The 24,661-nt window shown below is 50.3% G+C and overlaps 3 annotated features.

Moving 5' to 3' along the window:
* Window positions 96–720: an enhancer, noted in NCBI's record as "NANOG-H3K27ac-H3K4me1 hESC enhancer chr17:74965460-74966084 (GRCh37/hg19 assembly coordinates)". NCBI's record gives its function as "activates a minimal SCP1, AML or CMV promoter by ChIP-STARR-seq in naive H9 embryonic stem cells {active_cell/tissue: H9 hESC(naive)}" and the evidence as "EXISTENCE:reporter gene assay evidence [ECO:0000049][PMID:30033119]".
* Window positions 13,435–13,973: an enhancer, noted in NCBI's record as "H3K27ac-H3K4me1 hESC enhancer chr17:74978799-74979337 (GRCh37/hg19 assembly coordinates)". NCBI's record gives its function as "activates a minimal SCP1, AML or CMV promoter by ChIP-STARR-seq in naive H9 embryonic stem cells {active_cell/tissue: H9 hESC(naive)}" and the evidence as "EXISTENCE:reporter gene assay evidence [ECO:0000049][PMID:30033119]".
* Window positions 13,974–14,511: an enhancer, noted in NCBI's record as "H3K27ac-H3K4me1 hESC enhancer chr17:74979338-74979875 (GRCh37/hg19 assembly coordinates)". NCBI's record gives its function as "activates a minimal SCP1, AML or CMV promoter by ChIP-STARR-seq in naive H9 embryonic stem cells {active_cell/tissue: H9 hESC(naive)}" and the evidence as "EXISTENCE:reporter gene assay evidence [ECO:0000049][PMID:30033119]".

Consider the following 24,661-nt stretch of genomic DNA (forward strand, 5'->3'; position numbering starts at 1 on the left):
AGGTTCTGATTAGCTGCGGAGGAAAAGCCCGCCTGTTTTATGCATGAGGAGCTCTGCCTGGAGACCCTCGGCTGCTCACCCGCCCCAGCCCTGCCTTCTCCTCCTAAGTCGGGGAGGAGGAGAGGGGTCCCCAGAGGGCAGGATCCAAGGCTGAAGCCTAAGACCAACCCTTGGTGGTGAAAATAGAAATTTCTTGAGGCAAGGCTGCCATAAAGTGCAGTGAGACTCATCGGTGAGGGGGGCACTGTGCGATCTCCATCCGGGGTCTTCAGGGCAATTGCATGAGCTCAGCCTGCTAAGAGCCTGGCAGGCAGCGCGAGCTCCCCTGGAGTTCCGGCCGCTCCGCCCAGTGGCTCTGTGCAGCGCTTCCCGCCCGGAGAACCTAGTGCCCCGTTCCAGCCCTTCCTGGTGCCCCCTCTGCACCAAGACCCCCTCCCTACCTCTTTGCTATCTGGCACTGACTTCCTCTGGGAGAGGGGAGGCAGTGGGCTAGATGCTTTTGCAAATGTTTTCTCTACAATCTCCAGTCTTTGTGACAATTACCCTTAAAAGTTAGACCTCACATCCTGTTCCTTTCCTGTCATTCCCACCCACACCCCCTCCCCCTTCCCTGGACTCCGCGAGTTTTTTTTTTTTTTTTTTTACCACCACCCCTCAACCCACATTCTCCGCAGCTGCATCTACCAGGCTGGCAGCTCTGTGAGCCAGCTGTAAACGTGATTAATGCTGAAGGAAGGGCTGCTGGCTGCAAGGACACATCCCTGGCTGGGGCACAGCACTGGGTCAAGTGGCCAGCTGGGGCCAGGCAGGTGAAGGATTAATCCGGAATCTTGGCCAACAATCAGGTGGCTGTTTTTCCCAGACAATGGGTCTGAAGGGGGCAGTGCCCAAGGTTCACCTTTGAAAACTCCCAAGGGTCGCAACCCAGTGGCGTTGGGAACGCCTTGGCTAGGGGCCTCTTGAGCCTTAGCCCAGGCTTTGGGGCCTGGCTGCACCTTAGGGCTATTAGATATGAGTTCTAAACTTATTTTCAAAGAATTAATATGTCACTATGTTCAATTCTTTGCCTTCTACTTTTAAACTTAACTTTCTCGTAAAGCAACCTTTTTTGATTATGTCCTCCACCCTGATTCATTCTGATCACCTGCTCCACCCTGACTCATTCTGATCACCTGCTCCACCCTGACTCATTCAGATTACCTGCTACCTGCTCTGCCCTGACTCCAGCCAAAGCACTCACCCCATCATTCTCTTTAAATTAGCCAGTCGGAATTAGTTTAGCCTGTGCGGTCTAACCCTAGCCAATAGGGGAACGACACAGCAGCAGGGGCCACGTGCCTCAGGGATAAGAGCCCCCTTCCTCTCCTTTGTCCAAGTGTGCGCTCACCATTGCTCCATCTGTAAGGGCGCACCCTTCTATAGAAGTAACTTGCCTTGCTAAGAATTAAAAAAGAAAATTTTATATTCGAGTGCTATTCCTTCTGCAGCACCGAAATTTAAACAGGGCCATGCCAGGCTGTGGAGGAGGTAGAAGTCCTGTCGCTGTCTATAGGGCACGCTGGCATGAGCACATTTCAGACCCAGTTCAAGTCCGGCTCTGCCGCTGACCAGCTGGGTGGTTTGGGCAAGTTCCTTCACCGCTGAGCCTCAGTTTTCTTATCAGGAGAATGGGGATGCTAGTCCCTATCTTTAAGGGTTATGGAGAATTGGAGCTGATGTATTTGACCATGGTAGTCCTTCAGTACGCAGTGGCTGTCACTTTACTCTTCATGATACCGATGGGCCTGGGGAGGTCCCCGAATGCCGTTGGGACCTCAACCCCAGCTCTTGACACCATTTCGAGAAGGAATTCAAGGATGAGTCAGAAAACAGTGAAAGTATGGAGATTTATTGCAAAGCGAAAAGTACACACTCAAGAAAGGGGAGTGTGGCGTTCTCAAGACAGGATCGCACAGTGGGGTTTGGGGTTTCATCCTTATGGGTTTCTTTAGCCAAGGGATGGGATATTCATGAAAATTCCTGGAAAAAAGGTGGACGTTTCTCAGAATTGTGGTGCCACTCATTTTTACACCAAATACGGGTGGTCTTGGAACTGTCCTGGCGCTGGCAGGTGTGTGATTTAGGATGTTAATGAGCATATAACGAGGTCCTAGGAGGAACCCGGCTCACATCCAGCACCTTGGTGGGTCCTGTTGGTCTCAGCCAGCTTGGTCCACACACCCTGGTTTTCAGGGTTTTACCGGCCCATAACCTCTAGTCGTGTGAAATTGTTATAGGAAAGGGGTCCCAATCCAGACCCCAAGAAAGGGTTCTTGGATCTTGTGCAAGAAAGAATTCAGGGTAAGTCTGTAGAATAAAGTGAAAGCAAGTTTATTACGAAAGTAAAGGAATAATAGAATGGCTACTGTACAGACGAGGCTGCTGGTTGCCCATTTTTATGGTTATTTCTTGATTATATGTTAAACAAGGGGTGGATTATTCATGCCTCCCCTTTTTAGACCATACAGGGTAACTTCCTGATGTTGCTATGGCGTTTGTAAACTGTCATGGTGCTGGTGGGAGTGTAGCAGTGAGGACGACCAGAGGTCACTCTCGTTGCCATCTTGGTTTGGTTTCGGCTTTGGTGGGCTTCTTTACTGCAAACTGTTTTATCAGCAAGGTCTTTATGACCTGTATCTTGTGCTGACCTCTTATCTCACAGCAGGCCTCAGCCTGTTTTTACCCAGCCCCTATTCAAGATGGAGTTGCTCTGGTTCCAACATTTCTGACAAAACTGCTGCCTGGAATTTTGTAATTATCCTGTAACCCACCCTGTGTTTATTCCCGTCTCATTCGGGTGGTGTTACCTGCAGCCCAGGGGAGGGAATGCCGTGGAACAGCTCTGCCTTAGGCTCAGCTTGAAGGAAGTCTCAGCTCCCTCCTCTTCCCTACAGCTGTCAGAGCAGGAGGTGGCCCCAGGGGAGGCTCTAGCTGAGGCCCATTAATGGCATGGAAGAGAGGAAGGGGCAGGATGCAGCCCCATACCTGCCCCAGGCTGGGTCAGATGGCTCCCAAGGCTGCCTCTCTTGGGGGAAGCTTCTGGAGGAAGCCTGGTGTGTGCAGTTTTCCTGTAACACAAATGTGGGTGGGGGTTTTGGAAGCAGCCCCACAGGAACATCTCCCCAGCTGCTTGGCAGGTACTTGGCTGATTTCACTTTGAGTGGGCGGGGGTTAGAATTCTGCCTCCACTTTCTACCTGCCATGTGATTTGGAGCAAATTCCTTAATTTTTATACATCTCAGTTTTAAATTGTAAAATGGGGATAAAAACAATGAGAACTAAAAAAGACAAAGCATGTAAAATACAGAGGCTCGCGTGTTACAAGCGTCCATAAATGTCCAATTTTATTTGTGTCATGGGAGCCTCTATTTCATGGCAAGCCCCAATTCAATCTTGAGGCAAAGCTTCTGTTTTGAAGGCTGTGCATATGAGAATCTTCCAAGCTCCCCTCCGCCCCCTGGCCCTGAAATGCAAATGTAATAGACTAAAAGGAATAAACCCACAACACAAGGACAGGGGTGGGGGGTCACCAATCCCTGGGAGACAGTGGATGGCAGGCGTTGCTTGCTACACAGGTAGAGAGTGCTGCAGCTCAGGATAGAATTGCAGAGAGAGGGGCAGTGACCAGACAGAGCCTCCGAGACTCGGGGCTCAGGGGCAAGAGATTCTGTAGAGCAACATTTGGTTGCTGAGCATAGGGGAGTCACTGACGGTCGTTTATGAAATAACTGCATAAGTAGCGGTTCACCCTCTCCCGCCCTCTGTGCATTTCACTCAGCGACACCCTGGAAGGCTCTTCGCTAAAGAAGAAAACTGCTGGGGAAAGCTAAGGCCTCTGAACCGCAAGGCCGCCAACTATGAGTGTGCACCTGTGAAGATGTTGATGCTCCAGAGAAAATCCCTGCCCATCCCACATACAGGCCCCCACCCCAGCCTACACAGGAGGGGATGGAGAGGCCAATTGACTCCATAGCAGAGGAAATGCCAACCTGCCACCCTCTTACACGTGTCCTTCCCTCTTACATGTGAATGAGCCATGAAGGATCCCCAGGCATTTGAAGACCATCCATGCGAAGGAGAAAAAGCAGGAAAGCAATAAAAACACTGGCCCAGAGGAAGCAGAAATAATTCACGGAACAGAAGATAGCATTTAAGCCCTCTAATGAATATACTCAGGCAGACTGCAGAATATATTCCATCTATAAGAGAGCTCAGTTTTCTTGGAATAAGAAAACCCCAGAGAACCATCAAAGAGCTCCGGAGATGAACAAATATGCTTGCTAAAATGAAAAGTTCAATAGAAGGACTGGAACATACACAATCTCAAAATGCAAAAGCTAAAGGAAACAGAGCTGGGGAACCCAGAAAGAAGAGGAGCAGGCTCTGTACAGAAAGAAAGGAGGGCAGACTAGGACCCCATTGCCTACCAGTAACACTGGGTGCTAGAAGGGAATGGGTGCAGGATGGCTGCATGTTAGAAGGGAAAATTATTTTCAACCTGGAATTATATATCTAGCTACATTATCTGTCAAAAACCTCATGGCAGAATAAAGACATTTCAAACACGTAAAGACACAGATTATCTTCAGCACACCCACTTAAACATTTTCCCCCAGCTTTATCGAAGTACCATTGACAAATAGAAATTGTGTATATTTAAGGTGTACAATGTGATGATTTGATATACATATACAAACACAGCCTTTCTTTATTTTATTTATTTATTTATTTTTTGAGACAGAGTCTTGCTCTGCCGCCCAGGCTGGAGTGCAGTGGTGCCATCTCGGCTCACTGCAAGCTCCACCTCCCGGGTTCATGCCATTCTCCTGCCTCAGCCTCCTGAGTAGCTGGGACTACAGGCGCCCGCCACCACGCCCGGCTAATTTTTTGTATTTTTAGTAGAGATGGGGTTTCACCGTGTTAGCCAGGATGGTCTCGATCTCCTGAACTTGGGATCCGCCCGCCTCAGCCTCCCAAAGTGCTGGGATTGAAGGCGTGAGCCACTGCACCCGGCTGCCTTTCTTTAAAAGTTGCTTGACGATGTTCTCCAGAGAAATCAGGGAGTAAACAAAGAAAGAGGAAGATCCAGGAAACTGAATCCAACCTAGAAGAGAGTCAAGGGAAGTTCTGAGATTTGATCTCAGGCCTAGACAGGGTGACCAACTCATCCCAGTTGGCTGGGACTTTTTAGTTTCAGTACTGAAAGTCATCTCCTGGGGAACCTTGCAGTCCTGGGCAAACCAAGGTGATGGGTGACCCTAGTGATGGCAGCAGCTGCTCCAGATGGCCTGGCGCTGCCATCATGCTGGGAGGCATGGCTGGGGCTGTACACTCTACAGAGCAGGGCCTCCTGGTGGGGCGGCAGCCACCCAAGTTGTGGCAGCAGATCTGAGCTTCCTTGTGCTCTTGGGGGGCCAGGAGCAGGCAGGAGCCCTGCCCTCCCAGGTGCCACTGGAGCCACCCAAACTGCAGCAGCAGACTCAGGCATCTCTGCACTGCTGGGGTCCCAGGAAGGCACCCCTGCCCTCGCAGGCTCAGAAGTGCCTGCCCCCACTCTCTGGCTTTCTGCTGTCAATGCCTGCTCTGATCTTGGAGAAAAGTCAGGCTGAGCCCAGGTGCCATGAACAGCAGCAGGAGGCAGGTTCCCGGCAGAAGTGGGCAGGTCCCTGGTGAGGCATCACCTTCAGGCCAGGGAGGTCCTGAAGGCTAGGGGCCAGGCTGCCAGTCCCACTGACTGAAGTGGGAACTGGTGCCTTTTCCGAGCCCACCCATGGCTGCCCATACACTTCCTCCTCTCTGAGGCCCATAAAAGCCCCAGGATCAGCCAGAGCTGAGCAGATATATGACAGGACAGCCGGCTGCAGAGAGGAGCTACCCTCTCTGTTGAGAACCTCAGAGCCCTGCAGAGACATCCAAATGACCTACCTGCAGAGGGGAGCCACACTTTCCAAGGCCTCCTCTCTGCTGATTGCTGAACACTTGATGGGACAACCTGCCTACAGAGATGACCTACTGTTGCGGGTCTTACTGAGCTGTTGTAACACTCAATAAAGCTCCTCTTCGTCTTGCTCATCCTTCACTTGTCTGTGTACCTCATTCTTCCTGGACACAGGACAAGAACTCAGGCAAAGGTGCCACTGGCCACAGAGGTTTCTGGGAAAAAAATTGACACACCAAGGATCCTGTAACCCTAGGCCTAGAGACCAACCAGTGAAAATTGTAGCAAGAAGAGTAGACTCTAAAAGGGAGGTTGCCTAGGGAAAAAGGAATGCCATGGAATTTATAGTATGATGGAGATATGATTAAAGTACATAATACAAAAAAGGCAATTAGAAACTCTAGGAAAAATAAACAATTATATGAGAAAATGATGACCCAACTCAAAAAATATTAAATGTGACATGATTGTAAGCTATTGATTCAGTGTGAGAAAAGAGAATCTATTGGTCCTTGATGTTAGAAATAATCTATGAGTGATCCAAGGTTGGACATTGGACCCAAAGTGAATATTTTCGTATACTGCTTGATCCAACAGCAAAAAATATTTGCGCGGACATAAAAATACGAACATCTTATTCTTTTCAACTTTTAGAATCAAGCTATGGATAACACAGAGAAGACGTGGTTGAAGTTCAGGGACAGATGGTAAGTGTGGAGAACTTTGACAATGTAAAAATCAAAATGGTCATCAGGAGTGGAAAGAATTGCTGGGAAAAGAGATGAATTACAAAGAGATACTGTCAAAAGTTGATGCCACATAAAATAGAGATTCATCTACTAGAGTTAAAAGGTATACAGTGCAACCCAAATAACAACCACCATCAAACTAGGAGAGGCGGAGGGGGAAGAGAAGGAAGTGAGCTGAATCTTCATGTTTCACAGTGGGAATCCAATGGCTTTTGGTTAAAGTTGAAAAATCAAGAAATAGTAATATTTGTACATTATCTAGACTTTCAGAGACAACCACCAGAAAGAGGGCAATTAGAAGTGGTTAGACTGCAGTCTAACCCTCCAGGATACCTCCAGGGGGTGAACCAGGGAAGGAAGGAAGGATAAGACAGGAGGCTGTTGTTTTTTATTATAAGCTCTCTGTACCTTTTGATTTTTTCAACAGGCATATGTTATCTTCATAAAGGCTGAAATAAAAGCAAACAAAATTAAAACAGACACAGATCTTGGGAATTTACCACCCTCTGGCTGGCTCCCTGTAAAGAATTGGGCTGTAATGAAGGCTGCACTTAGGCAAGCTTTGAGGGACAAGAAGAAGCAAGATGGTGCCCTGGGAGGCCCTGGTTCAACCTTCCTATCCCACGGCATGGAGGTCATGGGGGAAGAAACAGAGGCTTGAAGAGTGTATCATTTTCCTCCAGGTTCTCTGTGCTGAGTAGTAAGTGTGTTCCATCAATGTCCTCGTATTAGTCTGCTTGGGCTGTCATAACCAAATAATATAGATGGGGTGGCTTACACAAAAGAAATGCATTTTATCATGCTATTCTAGAGGCTAGAAATTGGGGGTCAGGGTGCCAGCATGTTTGGGTTCTGGTGAGAGCTCCCTCCCTGGCTCACAGAAGGTCACCTTCTTGCTGTGTCCTCCCATGGCAGAAGGAGAGAGAGAGAAAAAGAGAGACAGAGAGAGAATCTCCTCTTCTTATAAAGCCCCAGTTCCATGAGGGCCCCACCTTTACGACCTCATTTAAACTTACCTGCCTCTTAAAGACCCTATCTCCAGATATAGTCACATAGAAGGGGAAGGGGAGTTCGGGCTTCAGCATATGAATTTTAGGGGAACACAGTTGAGGCCACAACAGCCCTGAATGCTGACTAAGAGGTTGAGGAGAGGGGATGAAGATTTTCTCTCCAGTCTCTGTTTTCATTCCATTGGGTTTAACAACTGTATTAGTCTGTTTTTGTTGCTATAAAAGAATACCTGACACCGAGTGATTTATAAAGAAAAGAGATTTTGCTGGCTCACAGTTATGCAAGCTATACAGGAAGCATGGTGCCAGCATCTGCTTCTGGTGAGGTCTCTGGAAGCTTCCAGTCATGGTGGAAGGCAAAGGGGTAGCAGATGCATCACATGGAGAGAGCAGAAGTGAAGGGGGCGGAGAAGTCAGGCTCCTTTAAACAACCAGCTCTTGGTGAACTCATTACCACTCATTACCGTGGGGAGGGCACTAAGCCATTCATGAGGGATCACCCCCATGACCCAGACACCTCCCACTAGGCCCCACCTCCAATATTGGAGGTCATATTTTGACATGAGGTTTGGAGGGAACAAAACACCCAAACCATATCAACAGCAAAACCTATGGCCGCTTCAAGTTATAGCCACTCCTTCCAGGGAAGAGAATAATCAAATCTTAAGAAAGCCCTGCACTTACTTCCATATGACTGTTTCCCCAGTAATTGTCCTCACACCTGCGTGTCTTGTTAGGACCAGTGCAGGTGTTAGGACACACCTGCAGTCCTTGTTAGGACCCTTCAAAGCCCTCTAGAACTAGGTGTGGTGGCTCATGCCTGTAGTCCCAGCTATTTGGGAGGCTGAAGCGGGAGGATCGCTTGAGCCCAGGAGTTTGAGTCCAGCCTGGGCAAGATAGTGAGACTCTCATTTTAAACAAACAAAAACAAATAAAAAGTCTTCTTGAAGCTCCTGCAATCCAGTGATAGACAAAGCATCGAGTAACTCCTGTACTCTAGGTTATTTCCATCTCAAATTATGTTGAGCTACATTGGAAACTGATATGGTTTGGCTCTGTGTCCCCACCCAAACCTCATCTTGTAGCTCCCACAATTCCCATGTGTTGTGGAAGGGACCCAGTGGGAGATGATTGAATCATGGGGGCGGGTGTTTCCTATGCTGTTCTCATGATAGTAAATGAGTCTCATGAGATCTGATGGTTTTTAAAATGGGAGTTTCCCTGCACAAATGCTCTCTGCCTGCTGCCATCCATGTAAGATGTGCCTTTGCTCCTCCTTTGCCTTCCACTATGATTGTGAGTCTTCCCCAGCCATGTGGGACTGTAAGTCCATTAAACCTCTTTCTTTTGTAAATTGCCCAGTCTGGGTATGTCTTTATCAGCAGCATGAGAACAGACTAATACAGACACCTAGGTCATTAAGGAGGGGTTTACCCTGCACAGCATGAGATCAGAAAGCCCAGATACCCAGTGTCCAAAGTGTGGATACAAACACCTTTCCCTGACCAAGTTTCCGCCAAGAATTAGAATGCCAAACAAAATCATCCTCTCCTTATGGAAGTTAAATTCCCAAAGCAACAAGTTCCAAACACCTGTGTTCCTTCTTTAGCCATTAGAGCCCAAGCTGCCTTTCACTAGAACCAGATTTGGTTTCCATGATAAACCAATTTCAAATGTCTCCAGTGTAACACTTCCCCGAAGTTCTAACGAGTCCCTGAGATGGCCCCATGGATTTGTGCTCCTGCTTCATTTGGGACCTTTGAGGACTTCCTTCACTTTCTTCTGAGTTCACCTTTGTATGCCAAAGAGTGTTTAAAATGTTTTACCTGCAGTTTTAGGTGTGGTTGAGAGGGCGGTTTTTCAGGATAACTCATCATCCTGAAACAGCTGTTACCCCTCCCCAAAATTTATCCTAAGAAAAGCAGCGTCCCCACATAGGCCTTGCCACCCATATCACCTGTAGGAAGGAGACAGAAAGTAAACATAGAAGAGAGAAAACATTTGTGGTTTCAGTTTGCTAGGATGCAAATACGTCCTGCCAGTTGTCTGGAGTCCATAGATTGTGTGACCTTGAACATAAGTAGGAGAATCCTCTTGGGAAAAGGCTGAGGCTTCTCCTGGGCTTCTCCCTCAAACTCTGCAGAACCTGGAACTTTGTTAGTCCTTTGCCACTGTCATTGGCTCTGCTCAGACTGGACTGACTGATTGATGCAGGGTACAGAGGCCTGGCCTTCTCACCCCAACCCAAGCAGTTCAGAAGGGTTGTCTGATTTTTTTCAGCATGTCCGTAGGGTAGGCTGAGGTCTCTGTTGACACTGCAGTGCCAGCTTAACTTCTCTTTTTGCTCAGTTCTGCTGCTTTCCTTTCCCTCTCAAAGCTATTGGTCCAAGAGTGCTCCCTATAAGCCTCTTACATGCTAATCTCCATCTCAGACTCCTGCACTCAAAGGAAGATGGGCAATGTGAAAATAAACCTATAGAACAAGCTTGTCCAACCTGTGGCCCATGGGACACATGTGGCCCAGGATGGTTTGAATGCAGCCCAACACAAATCTGTAAACTTTCTTAAAACATGAGATTTTTTTTAAAACATACTTTTTAATAAATGAAATTTTAAAATAGAAACAGGGTCTCACTATGGTGCCCAGGCTGGTCTCAAACTCCAGGGATCAAGTGATCTTCCCTCCTCAGCCTCTCAAAGTGCTAGGATTACCGGCATGAGCCACCACACCTGACACATTGTGAGATTACTTTGTAATTTTTTTTTTTTTGAGATGGAGTCTCACTCCGTCACCCAGGCTGGAGTGCAGTGGCGCGATCTTGGCTCGCCACAACCTCTGCCTCCTGGGTTCAAGCGATCCTCCTGCCTCAGCCTCCTGAGTAGCTGAGATTATAGGTGCCCGCCACCAAGCCCACTAATTTTTTGTATTTTTAGTAGAGACAGGGTTTCACCACGTTGGCCAAGCTGGTCTCAAACTCCTGACCTCAGGTGATCCACCCACCTCGGCCCCCCAAAGTGCTGGGATTACAGGCATGAGCCAGCGTGCTTGAGCCTGAGAGGTCAAGGATGGAGTGAGCTATGATTGCACCATTGTACTCCAGCCTGGGCAACAGAGCAAGACCCTGTCTCTAAAAAAAAAAAAAGTCATTATATCAACAAATGGTTGAACAATTAATTGCTCATTAATATGCCAAAGGATGAGCCTAGAGCCATATCTTCTGCCATATACAAAAATAACTGAAGCTGGATCATAGACCTACATGGAAAACCTAAAACTATGAAACTTCTAGAAGAAAACAGGAGAAAATTTTAGTGGCCTTAGGTCAGGAAAAGATTTCTTAGATAAGGTATAAAAAGCATAAACCATAAGAGAAAAAATTGGACTTCAACTTTTTTTCTGTTTTTTTTTTTTTTTTTTTTGAGACAGAGTCTTGCTCTGTTGCCAGGCTGGAGTGCAGTGGCATGATCTTGGCTCACTGCAACCTCCACCTCCTGGGTTCAAGTAATTCTCCTGCCTCAGCCTCCCGAGTAGCTGGGATTACAGGTGCCAGTAGGTGGGATTACAGATCATCCATCCACAAGGGTCACGTGCCCACGTGGTAACAGCCCACGGGAGCTGGGTAATGGCTGCCCCTAGAGAAGGGTCACATGCTCTCCAGTCTGCCACAGGCTCCGCCATGCCTTATGGTTCTCCCCACCCACTCCCATCACCTACATGGCCCTGTAGCTGGGTGTCTGCAGCCAGAGTTTAGTGGTTTCTCCAGGCCTTTCCAGCACTCATCTTTTCTTTCTTTCTTTCTTTTTTTCGAGATGGAGTTTTTGCTCTATTGCCCAGGCTGGAGTGCAGTAGCGCCATCTTGGCGCACTGCAACCTCTGCCTCCTGGGTTCAAGCAATTCTCCTGCCTCGGCCTCCCGAGTAGCTGGGATTACACACGCACCACCATGCCTGGCTAATTTTTGTATTTTTAGTAGAGACGGGGTTTCACCATGTTGGCCAGGCTGCTCTCTAACTCCTGACCTCAGGTGATCTACCCACCTCGGTCTCCCAAAGTGCTGGGATTATAGGCATGAGCCACTGCACCTGGCCAAGTACTCACCTTTTCTGTGGCTAATCACAGCACTTGAGAGGGATGGGAAGACAGCCCTATTAGGCTCATCTTATTCACATTTGTAAATCTGGCCAGCTGAGCCCCTGGTCTAGACTTCAGCTGTGTAGAGGTCTCTGCTGGGGCCTGTCCAGGAGCCTGGAACCCCAGCCATAAGAGTCACTCTTTGGAGCCATCTGGGGACTCGTGCCCCTCGAATGGATTAAAGCCATGTCTCCTGGGAAAGGCAAGATGCCATTTAGGAAACACTGGCAGGGAGTGCGGTGCCTTGACTAGCCCCACATACGTTTTCTCCAGCTGAGAGCCAGCCCCTAAAAGAGTGGATCCCTGGCCAGGTGCAGTGGCTCAAGCCTGTAATCCTAGCACTTTGGGAGGCTGGGGTGGGGGGAGGGGGGATTATCGTTTGAAAGAGAGTAAAGCGTAGCCTTGAAATTTATCTGCGGGGATGCGAATGGGAAAATAAAGTATTCTGGAGCTGGAGAGGGGCTTTTTTTGCCCGCTGGCAGACTGGGGAGAGAATTCAGAAAGCGAAATGGGGAAACTGCCTACAACCAAAGGCTGCTTTCCCACCAGCCCTGAGCTCCTCCAGATCTGAGTTGCGTCAGCCCACAGCCTGCCCACCCCTGCCATGGCAAGGTTCTTCTCGGTGCCAGGCAGTTTCACATCCACGAGCCCTGCTCTGCCCAGGCCATGCTTGGTACCTTATAGCAGCTTTCTCAGTGACTCCTAAAACAGCCTTTTAATCCCCATTTTAGGGATGTGGAAACTGAGGCTTAGAGAAGTAAAGAAGGTGATGAATTTGGGATAAAGGTCCGTCAATGTCTGGATGTTTTCCATCTCATGACGCAGTCCCATGACAATACTACCCCACCCACACCCCAGTTCAGACAAGACCCTCGCCAGGAGCGGGGAGGCAGCCAGCCGCCTCCTAACCAGCTCCTGTAGCATCAAATCCCTGATCCCTGATCCCGTTGCCATAGAAACAGCTTTAGACCTCACAGTCTCTCCTGGGCTCAGTAGGGAGGTACTGGAGGGAATAATCCACTATTTGCTAGCAAATTGGGGGAATTGTGGCTCATGCTTGACAGAGAGGCAGCCGAAGGTGGGAGGGAGGATGGAGAAGGGCAGCTTGGTGTCATTTGAGCATCTGTCCCCTGTTCTGGGAGATCCTGCATCTGCAGGGAGAGGCCCTAGGCTGACTCCCTGGGGTCACCAGGCCGAGGTGCACACCCTCCTTGGATCAGCATCCACGAACAGCTCTTCCTCTGCCAGGCGCTATTCTGGAGATGCAGAAGTGGACACATCCGAGAAGGATCCTGCCTTCAAGGAGCCTACATTCTGGCAGGGGAAGCAGACAGTGGACAGTAGACAGTGCATGCATGATAAATAGTGTGAAAGATGCTATGGAAAAAGAAACCAGCAGCCCCGGAAACTGGTGATCAGAGAAACAGGGGTTTGCAATTTTAAGCAATGCAGCACCGTCTTCAAATGCAGGTCGCAGGCACCCACAAACAGAGCCCCACCCGCCCATTTCCAGGCTGACATGGGACCCAGAAGCATGCTTGTTTTGTGCAGAGGCAAGACGCAGGAAAGTCACAGACTCTGAGGGGAGGTGGCAGTCCCCCTACCCACCCACCCAGACTCGCACAGCCAGAATCCCACCACGAGTGCCCAGGCTTGGCTTTTGGGGGTTTCCTTTGTTTAAACCCCACCTGTTCTCATCCAAGCATCCTGGGAGGTTCTGCTCAGAGAACACTTGTGGGTAGATGAACAGCTCCCTGGGGACAGACATAAAACCTTGGGGAGTCAGACAAACCCATTGCCATGAAAAGAGCTGTACAGCTTACCGGGGAAGGGGCATCGCCTTCCTCACATGACCCCACCCAGGGGGTGGAGGCCTTTGCCAGTGGCTGCTTTTGCATGTCTGAGGTGGAACAGGGACAGCACTTTGTTTTCCCAACAACAAAGCTGCTCACCTAACTGCCCCTCCTTGTACCGTCAGTCCTAACTGCCAGCCCACGCAGCCCTGCATCAGCCTGTGGCCGCCTCCTCGTGTCACCTTGGCCTGCACAGCCTCTGGAGCGCACCTCCCTGGAGGCAGCACGTGCCTGCCCCACACTCTGGGGCATCCTCAGCCCTGCTGGGCCACAGCAAGGCTCCCAAACCCACCCCGCTCCCCTCCCACTTAGCAGATGACCCGAGGACCCTGCTTCCTGGGGAAGAGCAGAGGCTTCCAGGCTTGCTTCCCTTGGCTTCCTGTGCACCGCCCCAGCCCTGCACCCGCTGCCCTCCTCCCTTCTCCTCCAGCCTGGAAGGGGCTGCTGAGGCATAGCTCCCCACGTGGACCTTTGACCTATGCACCCTCCCGCCCCTGGCTGTGGGGTTCGTAGAGGCCCTGGGCCAAGTCTTCCCCTTAGGCGGTCAAGGTGCTCACATCACCTCTCCACAGACAGTCAGAGACAGCAGCTTCCTTTCCACTCTCTAATCCTCCTTAGAGCCCTGCTCACACCTCCTCGCAACCGGGGAGAGATTTCACCTTGAACTTGACAATTAATGACATTTCAGTCTCAGCTGGCTTGTGTCATCTCTTACCAATTCTGACTGGTGTCTGACTAGAGGCAACGTGGGACCCTGGATTAGATCCTGCAACAGAAAAAAAGACTTTAGAGGAGAAACTGGTGGGATTCTAACAAAGTCTGTAGTTTAGTTAACAGTCTGGTACCAGTGCCCATTTCTTAGTTTTGACAGATGTATGCACCCCGGTTAGGTAGGATGTTAAAATCGGGGGAAGCTGAGTGAAATGGAGATGGGAGTGGTAATTACTTTGCATTTTCAGCAAATCTAAAATTATTCAAAAATAAAAATTTATTTTTAAAAAAATGATGAGTCTGGGTAAATGATACACGGGAGTTTTTTGGTACTGTTCTTCCAACTTTTTAAAATAAGTTTGAAAATATTTCCAAATTAAAGTTCCTGGATGGATGCAGTGGGTCATGTCTGTAATCTCAGCACTTTGGAAGGCCGAGGCAGGCAGATCACTTGAGGTCAGGAGTTGGAGACCAGCCTGGCCAACATGGCAAAACCCTGTCTCTACTCAAAAAAAATACAAAAATTACCCAGGTGTTGGTGGTGCACGCCTGTAATCCCAGCTACTCGGGAGACTGAAGCAGGAGAGTTGCTTGAACCTGGGAGGCAGAGGTTGCAGTAAGCTGAGATTGCGCCACTGCACTCCAGCATGGAGGACAGAGCGAGACTCCATCTAAAAAAAAAAAAAAATAGTTCCTTCAAACTTTATAGCAGCATTGTTTGCAATCGCTAAAAAGTGGAAGCAACCCAGGTGTCTATCTATGGATGAACGGATAAACAAAATGTGGCTTTTCCATACCATGAAACATTATCAGCCTTACAAAAGAAGGATTTTTTTTTTTTTTTGAGGCAGAGTCTCACTCTGTTGCCCAGGCTGGAGTGCAGTGGCATGATCTCAGCTCACTGCAGCCTCCCTCTGCCTCCCAGGTTCAAGCAATTCTCCTGCCTCAGTGTCCCAGGCAGCTGGGATTACAGGCGCATGCCACCACGCCCAGCTAATTTTTGTATTTTTAGTGGAGGTGGGGTTTCACCACGTTGGCCAGGCTGGTCTTGAACTCCTAACCTCAGGTGATCTGCCCGCCTCAGCCTCCCAAAGTGCTGAGATTACAGATGTGAGCCACCGCGCCTGGCCTGAGAATTTTTTTTTTCTTGTTTTCTTTTCTTTTCTTTCTTTTTTTTTTTTATTTGAGACGGTTTTGCTCTGTCACCCAGGCTGGAGTGCAGTGGCACCGTCATGGCTCACTGTAACCTCAACCTCCTAGGCTCAAGTGATCCTCCCACCTCAGCCTCCTGACTAGCAAGGACTACAAGTGCGAGCCACCACACGCTGCTAATTTTTTATTTTTTGTAGAGATGGGGGGGTCTCATCATGTTGCCCAGGCTGGTCTTGAACTCCTGGCTTCAAGCGATCCTCCCGCCTCAGCCTCCCCAAGCGCTGGGATTACAGGCATGAGCCACTGAGCCTGGCCAAGGAAGGAATTTTTTTTTCTTTTTTTTCTTTTTTTGTTTTTGAGACAGTTTCCCTCTGTCACCCAGGCTGGAGTGCAATGGCACAATCTTGGCTCACTGCAACCTCTGCCTCTCAAGCTCAAGTGATTCTCGTGCCTCAGCCTCCTGAGTAGCTGGGATTACAGGCATGTGCCACCACACCCGGCTAATTTTTGTATTTTTAGTAGATACGGGGTTTCACCATGTTGGCCAGGCTGGTCTCAAACTGATCCATCCACCTGCCTCGAAGTGATCCATCCGCCTGCCTCGGCCTCCCAAAGTGCTGGGATTACAGGCCTGAGCCACCATGCCTGGCACCAAGGAAGGAATTTTTGATACAGGCCATAACACCGGAGAACCTTGGAGACATTATGTTAAATAAATTAAGCTGGTCACAAAAGGACAAATACTATATAATTCCACTTATATGAGATTCTTAGAATAGTTAAAATTAGAGACAGACAGTAGAATGGTGGTTGCCAGGAGCTGGAGGGAGGGGGAGTGGGGAGTGATTTAATGGGGACAGAGTTTCAGTTTTGCGAGATAAAGGGTCCTGGAGATGGGCTGCATCGCAACGTGAATGTACTTAACTCTACTGAAGGGTACACTTAAAAATGGTTAAGATGGTGGTTTTATGTTATGTGTTTTTTGCCACAATTGAAAAAAAAGAAAACAACCTGGCAGGGTGCGGTGATTGACCCCTGTAATCCCCTGTAATTCCAGCACTTTGGAAGGCCGAGGTGGGTAGATCACCTGAGGTCAGGAGTTCGAGACCAGCCAGGCCAATATGGTGAGACCTCGTCTCTACTAAAAATACAAAAATTAGCCAGGCATGGTGGTGGGTGCCTGTGGTCCCAGCTGCTTGGGAGGCTGAGGCAGGAGAATTGCTTGAACCCGGGAGGCAGAGGTTGCAGTGAGCCGAGATCGAGTCAGTGCACTCCAGCCTGGGTGACGGAGTGAGACTCTGTCTCAAAGACAGAAAAAAAAAAAAAATCAATAAAGTTCCTAGAAAATAATTCCCTCTGAGTATACAAAAGACTGTAGGGCCTTTGTGGCCCCAGACCCTCACCCTCAAGGTGAGGCCTAGTCAGACAGGGCCCTCTCCAGTGTGGGGCCCAAGCAGGGCCTGGGTGCAAGGACGCTCCTGGTCATGGTGTCTCCCCTGGTCACTGGACTAGACCTTCCATCCTGCTCGGCTCCCAGCAGGCAGAGCCCTTTACTGCCCCCTCCCCTGGCCCAAGGCCCTAGAAGTGGGGAGAAGGCCATGTGGAAGCTGAAACAACTCTGAGAATCCAGCTCACAGCCTGCTGCAAGTCCCAGGGATGCTTCCAGGCCCCGCTGCTGAGCCGTTCCTCCATCTGCAGTGTATCACGACGTCCCCCGCCCCTCCGCTGTCTGCTGCCAGCTGAGAGGTTACTAGAGCCTGGGCTCCCTCTGATACTTCCCCAGCCTGTTGTAGGCTGGCGGCCAGAGAGCTTCCTGGGAGCCCAGTGGTTGACAGCTCTCCTGCCCCAAAGCCTTCCAGGACCATGGGCAGGGGACAAAGAGGGCTGGGGGCTTCCCTGGGGAAGTGATGCACATCAATCTGCTCCTGAGCCTGCCCCAAGGAGCCAGTGGCGGTTCTTTTGCTGGATTCCCTGAAAGACAGCCATTACTATTGTTGTTGTTAGCATTGAGCGTCCCCAGATAAATGAGAGCCCTGTTAGGACAGAATTCTGAAGCAAGGAAGGGCTGCCTATCTGGTCTCTGTCTCTGAGCATCAGAAGCTGGGCTTTGGGATTCTGTCTGGGGCCCCAGGTTCAGACACATCCCCATCCCTTACCTTGAGGCTTGACGAGGGCCAAAGAGTTTGTTGAGACTGCTTCGTCCAAACCCTGGGAGGGAATTCACAGGCAGCATTTATTCTGCCCTTTTCTATCTACTGACCACAACTTAGAGGACTCTAGTACCTCTAATTCCTTTGCACAGAAGCCCCCATGATAACCCTTCCCCAGCAGTCTAAGGAGAATGTCCGGTCTGCCAGCTTCTCTTCCCAGGGATGGCAGTTCCAGGGGACGTGGCCATCTCCACCCCATGAGTCCTCTTAATGCACCCTCCTGACTGGGAGGGCAGACCCCACCCCTGCTGCTGCCAGAATGACAGAGCCCCTGAGGCCAGGCTAGAGTCACTCATGGGAATCAAGACTTCAGGCCACTACAAACTGCCTGAGATGACGGGCCAGCCCGCAGGAGTCCACGTGGGGCCACTCTCTGATGAAGGAAGATGGAGGGAGCCAGGGCTGGGGAAAAGGGCTTCGCCTGCATCCTTGGCAAAGAATCTCTGTTGTGGGCACCCAGGGGCTGCTGAGAGCACTCACCAGGTGGGACTCCCTCGAAACAGTCTGCCCGTTGTTCCCCGAACGCTTGGCAAAGTGCGCACACTGATGTGTGTGTGTTCCTCCACGTAGCCCCAGCAGGGGAAGTGTGTGTGGGCCTGGGGCGCTCATGCACACAGGCTGGGCAGGTGCGTGAGCATGCACACATGTGGGTGCCCACAGGCTGCAAGTGCTGCCCGGAGATGCTGCCCGGAATGGCTGCCACTCTTCAGTTGCTGGTCCCCCACATCAGGTCACACTCGCACTCAGCCCTGTGTCTCAGAAACCTCAGAGACAAACTCCCACCCACATTCGCTCAAAGACCCCAGCCCAAATTAGGAGTGACATCTCTGCCCTGAGCTCAGCGGTGTCTGCACCACACGCTCAGATAGAGGGCCTGGGAGTCCCCACCCCTCTCCAGAGAGGATTCTGAACTTGTGTGTGTGCTGATTTTTGGTATGTGCTCAACTTTGACACACACTCACAGCTAAATTGCCAGAAAAGGCTTTTTCTTGAATAGTTTTTTGTTGTTGTTGTTGTTTTGTTTTGTTTTTTTTAGACAGGGTCTCACTCCATCACCCAGGCTGGAGGGCAGTGCGGCGATCAGGGTTCATTCACTGCAGCCTCAAACTTGAACTCCTGGGCTCAAGCATCTGCCCCCACCTCTTGTTAAAGAAGCCGCAGGCAAGCTTTTGCAAACAGCCAAGACTTCCCTACTGAGGTAGAGAAAGAGGCCCACAGCCCACCTTGTCACAGTCGGTGGGGGAGGTAGCGATGGGGAGGAGAGGGCCTCTGCAGTGACCAGGTAGTTGGAGGACAGTGTCCGAGTACCCGAGGGGCAATAGCAACTGGGATCCCCGGATGTAGAGGAGCAATTTAATTCCTGCTGGAGCAGCTGTACAGAGAAGTCAAGTTCATCTTGGGGAAGGCAGGGGAAAAGAAAACTCAGGGAAAAACTCTCTATTTTCTGAGCCAAAAATGGTGGCCCTGGATTCCCTTCTTCAACTTGAGAATGCATTTAGGTAAAAAAGGTGACAAGAGGCTGGGCGCGGTGGCTCACGTCTGTAATCCTAGCATTTTGGGAGGCCGAGGCGGGGGGATCACCTGAGGTCAGGAGTTCGAGACCAGCCTGGCCAACATGGCAAACCCCCGTCTCTACTAAAAATACAAAACTTAGCCAGACTTGGTGGCGCGTGCCCGTAATCCCAGCTACTTGAGAGGCTGAGGCAGGAGAATCGCTTGAACCCAGGAGGCGGAGGTAGCAGTGAGCTGGGATCACGCCGTTGCATTCCAGCCTGGGCAACAAGAGCGAGGCTCCATCTCAAGAAAAAGAAAAAGATGACAAGAGCCAGGTCTGCACCATGTGGCCTGCCTCATTGCAGCTCATCCCAGCCTGGGGCTTCAGCTATCCCTGATTCCTCGGCAGGCGCAAGATTCCTCCTAATAACGAGAACTCCCCCTCCCGCTGCCATGACTGAGGCAACCACAGTGCATCCCGGGAGCGTCACCCAAACAGCCGTAAACATGAAGTCACTTTCTGTTACGCATTGAACAACTCTCCTTTATTAAACAGAATAAAATCGCATGAGCACAAATAGAATCTCCTGCAAAAATATTTATCTGTTAATATAATAGCTGAAATCGCCAGGGTTTAGGAAACTGGGAAGAATGACGTCTGTTTTGCTGTGGGCGCTGCCTCAGAGCCGCTGTCTGATGGGTAACATGCAAACGGCTTCTTCCTCCACCCTCCAAAATATGATCTTCAGAGGCCAGGTTGGCTTTACCCAGTGCAGTAGAGGGGTCCCTAAAATTGGAGCGTGAACCCTGATTTTGTAAGTTGAATTCCATTTCCACTGCCCCAGGGGTGCTCGCTATTTAAAAGGGAAATTTTAGCTGTGGCAAAAAAAAAAAAAAAAAGAAATCATTATAATGCAAGTCAGCTTTCTCTTTTATCCCTTCTTGGTAAATTTGATTTTCAATTTTTCTCTGTGCTTGGGGCTGGGAAGAGTGGAATCCAAGCATGAGAAAAATCAATGGGAAGTTCCAGGAAGCTATGGCCCAGCCGAATGCTCCAGGGTTCCAGACAGTACCTCAGGGGACTTTGGAGCACTCGGCCCTATTTGCACTTCTGCGGGGCTTTGCTATGCCTTAAGCCCTCAGGTCAAGGGAACCACTGGCTACTTGGTAGAAGCTTGTGGGGTGACCCCAGGTTACCTGTGTGAGGTTTAGCAGAGCCTAGGGGCTCGCCTCTTCCTGTCCTCACTGTCCTTGAGACCCTTACGTGCCACCTGGACCAGCTTGCTCCTACCAATTCCTCCCCTGCACTGTCTCAGAGCCTGTTATCCTAAAATACAGCTGTCCCTTAAAGCTGGGGACCACCCTTCCACCTAAGCAAGTGGGACCCCTGCCCTGAGCCCCAGGCTGCAGAAGGCCACGCTCTGGCCACCCCTGGGACACCCTTCCTCCAGGGCAGGGAGTCACCATGATTTGGGCCACACATCACAGATGAAGGACAGGAGACTGCGCTCCCTTCAGCTGCAAGGTCGGGGTCCCCAGTCACCTCACTTCTGATCAGCTGGCTGTACATTCAGGGGTTTCTGTTACCCCCTAAGTTCCAACCCACTAGAATGCTTACAGAACTCAGGAAACTATTCAATTTAGGATTTCAGTTTTATTTTAACAAAGGATACAAATCAACCAGCCACAGGGTAAGGTGTGTGGGGTGGAGTCTCGGAGGGTTCCACCTGCAAAGCTTCCATTGTGCTCAGGACCCGTGACCTCCTGCCACACGGATGTGTGATGAGACGCCGGACATCGCCATCATTTCTCCTCCCCCTTCCCCTTTGAGCCGCCACATGCTGAGATTGGGCCACCTGGATAGTCCAGGACACTCTCCACATCTCAGCGTCACAACTTAGCCCCATCTACAAAGTCCCTTTTGCCATGTAGGTAATATGGTCACAGGTTCCAGGGCCTAGGACATGAGCACCTTTGGGGGCCATGATTCTGCAGCCACACCCTGTGACTGGCGCGGAGGCCTTTCCTGACTCTGGAGGGAATTTGATTCCAGTTTTTTGGAGTCTGTGGAGGGCGTGGCCACGCATAAGGCATGCTGGAGGGCTGAGCCCCAAGCTCCGGGACTTGGCCTGGATGGGGCTACATACCTTGAAGTGGGAGGTTGAGAGCTGACATGGTTTGGGTCTGTGTCCCCACCCAAATCTCATGTTCAATTGTAATCACCAGTGTTGGAGATGGAGCCTGGTGGGAGGTGACTGGATCATGAGGGCAGCTTCTCATGAATGGTTTAGCACCATTGCCTGGATGCTGTCCTCAGGACAGTGAGAGTGAGCTCTCCTGAGATCTGCTTGTTTAAAAGTGTGTAGCAGGCTGGGTGCAGTGGCTCACGTCTGTAATCCCAGTACTTTAGGAGGCTGAGGCAGGTAGATCACCTGAGGTCAGGAGTTAGAGACCAGCCTGGCCAACATGGCTAAATCCTGTCTCTACTAAAAATATAAAAAATTAGCCAGGCTTGGTGGCACACGCCTGTAATCCCAGCTACTTGGGAGGCTGAGGCAGGAGAATCGCTTGAACCCAGGAGGCAGAGGTTGCAGTGAGCAGAGATCGAGCCATTGCACTCCAGCCTGGGCGACAGAGCAAGACTCTATCTCAAAATAAATAAATAAATAATAATAAAAGTGTGTAGCACCTTCCTGGCCCAGCTCCTGCTTTCCCTATGTGAGGCGTCGACTCCTCCTTCGCCTTCCACCATGATTGTTTCCTGAGGCCTCTCCAGAAGCCGAGCAGAGGCCAGCGCCATGCTTCATGTACAGCCTGCAGAACCGTGAGCCAATTAAACCTCCTTTCTTTATGAATTACCCAGTCTCAAGGCGTTTTTTTTTTTTTTTTTTTTTTGTTTTTTTTTTTTGAGACGGAGTCTCGCTGTCGCCCAGGCTGGAGTGCAGTGGCGCAATCTCGGCTCACTGCAGGCTCCGCCCCCTGGGGTTCACGCCATTCTCCTGCCTCAGCCTCCCGAGTAGCTGGGACTACAGGCGCCCGCTACCACGCCCGGCTAATTTTTTGTATTTTTAGTAGAGACGGGGTTTCACCGTGTTAGCCAGGATGGTCTCGATCTCCTGACCTCGTGATCCGCCCGCCTCGGCCTCCCAAAGTGCTGGGATTACAGGCGTGAGCCACCGCGCCCGGCCGGCGTTTTTTAATAGCAATGTGAGAACAGAGGAATACAAGGGCTTTTTGCATTCTGTAACCACAGCCCTGCGTCAGTGGAGGTGGGCAGGGAGAAGGCAGGCAGGGCTGGCTATACACAGCTGGTTGGTCTAACTCTCCGGCTCGGCTCTGGGGTGGCCAGGAAGGGACCCATCATGGGGCAGCTCCCTGCCTTCTCCCAAGTCTGTTCTTGCCCTTAGCCAGGAGCAGGTCCTATGAGGATTGGAAATGTGGAGACAGCGTGGCCCTGGAGCCCTAGTTCACGCCCTGGCCATCAGAGCTGCTTCTGCTCAAGGCATTGCTTCTTGTTTTCGCCCCCATTCGTTGCACCTTTGCTGCACAAGACATTTTGCACATATGACCAAGCAAGGGTTCAGGCCCTCATCTTTGATTCCAAAGCTTGTTTTTCACTGCATCCAAGACCCTCTGCAGTTCCCAAGGCCGCCCTGTACAGTTGTGCAGGTTTTCACTACACAAGAGCAAAAGGCCAAATGCTGAGCGGGGCTGAAATCCAGCCTGGGCTCCATGCACCCAACTGGGAGCCCACACACAGGCTTCAATCACCCAGAGGGGAGCCTTTCTCAGCTTTGCCCAAAGGTACCATATGATAGCCACCTTGACAGCTTCCATTTTAGAAATGAAGAAACACAGAGAGGTTAAGTAACATGTCTAAAATCACACAGCTGGTCAGTGATCTTGGGATCCAAGCCTGGTCTTTGCATTCTATAGCATTGCCTAAAGCAAGGTTCTGCTGAGCAAAAGACCTCAACAGATGCGGTGTTTAAAGGGAAATGTCCAGAGACCGGGGACTCTGCTGGGTAGAGCATCAGCAACATAACACGGTGGGAACCACAAGCTTAGACATCAAAGATGAGGTCGAAGCCTTGCTCAGTCACCTCTTGGCTGTATAACTTGCACAGATAATTCACTTCTCTGAGCCTTGATTTCTCCACCGGTGAAATGGAAAGACTTAGCTTGAATCCCAATGACCACTGACCAGCTGTGTGATCTTATATATGTTACTTAACCTCTCTGAGTTTCTTCCTGTCTAAAGCGGAGGCTACTGGGGTGGCTGTTGGCTTTATGTGGTACCTTTGGGTAAATCTGAAAAAGGTCCCCCTCTGGGCAGTGGCAGTCCTAGCCCATAGAACTGTTGTGAAGATTAAGAAAACGCTGCGGTGCCTGTTTATATTTATATTTTTCTGGCTGAAGACCAATTTCTCCAGCGTTGAGGGTTAATTGAGTGCATGGCTCTGGTCTGCCTGGGAAAGTGCCAGAAAAGAAAGAAAGGCCAAGTTGGAACTGGGGCCAGGGAGGTGGCCCTGTTGCTGCCCCTCCCATCTCTTGTCCAAGGCATACCATGCTCCCTGGTCTCTGCCGGTCTCAGCTCTGCAGGTGGAGGAGAGGCTGTAGGCTTTGTATTGAACCAAGCATGGGGGCTCCTATGGAAGGTTTTACAGATGAGAGGAGCAATCGCTGGCTCCCCAGGTTCTTCTCTGGTATAGCATCTTAGGGGAAGGGATTCCCAGTCTTCCTGGGCTTCTCCTTCCAGCTCTTCAGAGTCTCGCTCTGTAGCCCAGGCTAGAGTGCAGCGGTGCAATCTCGGCTCACTGCAACCTCCACCTCCCAGGTCCTGGTTCAAGCAATTCTCCTGCCTCAGCCTCCCAGTGCTGGGATTACAGGTGTGAGCCACTGTGCCCGGCCTCTCCTTCCATCTCTTAGCACAACCTCAGGCAAGGTTTTCCTGAGCTCTAACCCTACACCCCCCTGACTTTCCTTCATCCTTAGATAAAATGAAAGTCAACATTAAGTTTTGCAAGACTGGGGACTGGGTGAGGTGGTACATGCCTGTAATCCCAGCACTTTGGGAGGCTGAGGCAGGAGGATCACTTGAGCCCAGGAGTTTGAGACCAGCTTGGGCAACAACGGCAAGACACCATCTCTATAAGTAATTTTTTTTTTTAAACCCAGGCTTGGTGGTGCACACTTGTAGTTCCAGCTACTTGAGAAGCTGAGGTGGGAGGATCACCTGAGCCTAGAAGATCAAGGCTGAGGTGAACCACGATTGCGCCGCTGCACTCTAGCCTGAGCAACAGAGTGAGGCCTTGTCTCAAAAACAGAAAAAAAGTTTTGCAAGACTGTGAAGGCAGACAGGTGGATACTGAGA

The sequence above is a fragment of the Homo sapiens genome, chromosome 17 (assembly GCF_000001405.40).
Source record: "Homo sapiens chromosome 17, GRCh38.p14 Primary Assembly".
Lineage (NCBI taxonomy): Eukaryota > Metazoa > Chordata > Mammalia > Primates > Hominidae > Homo > Homo sapiens.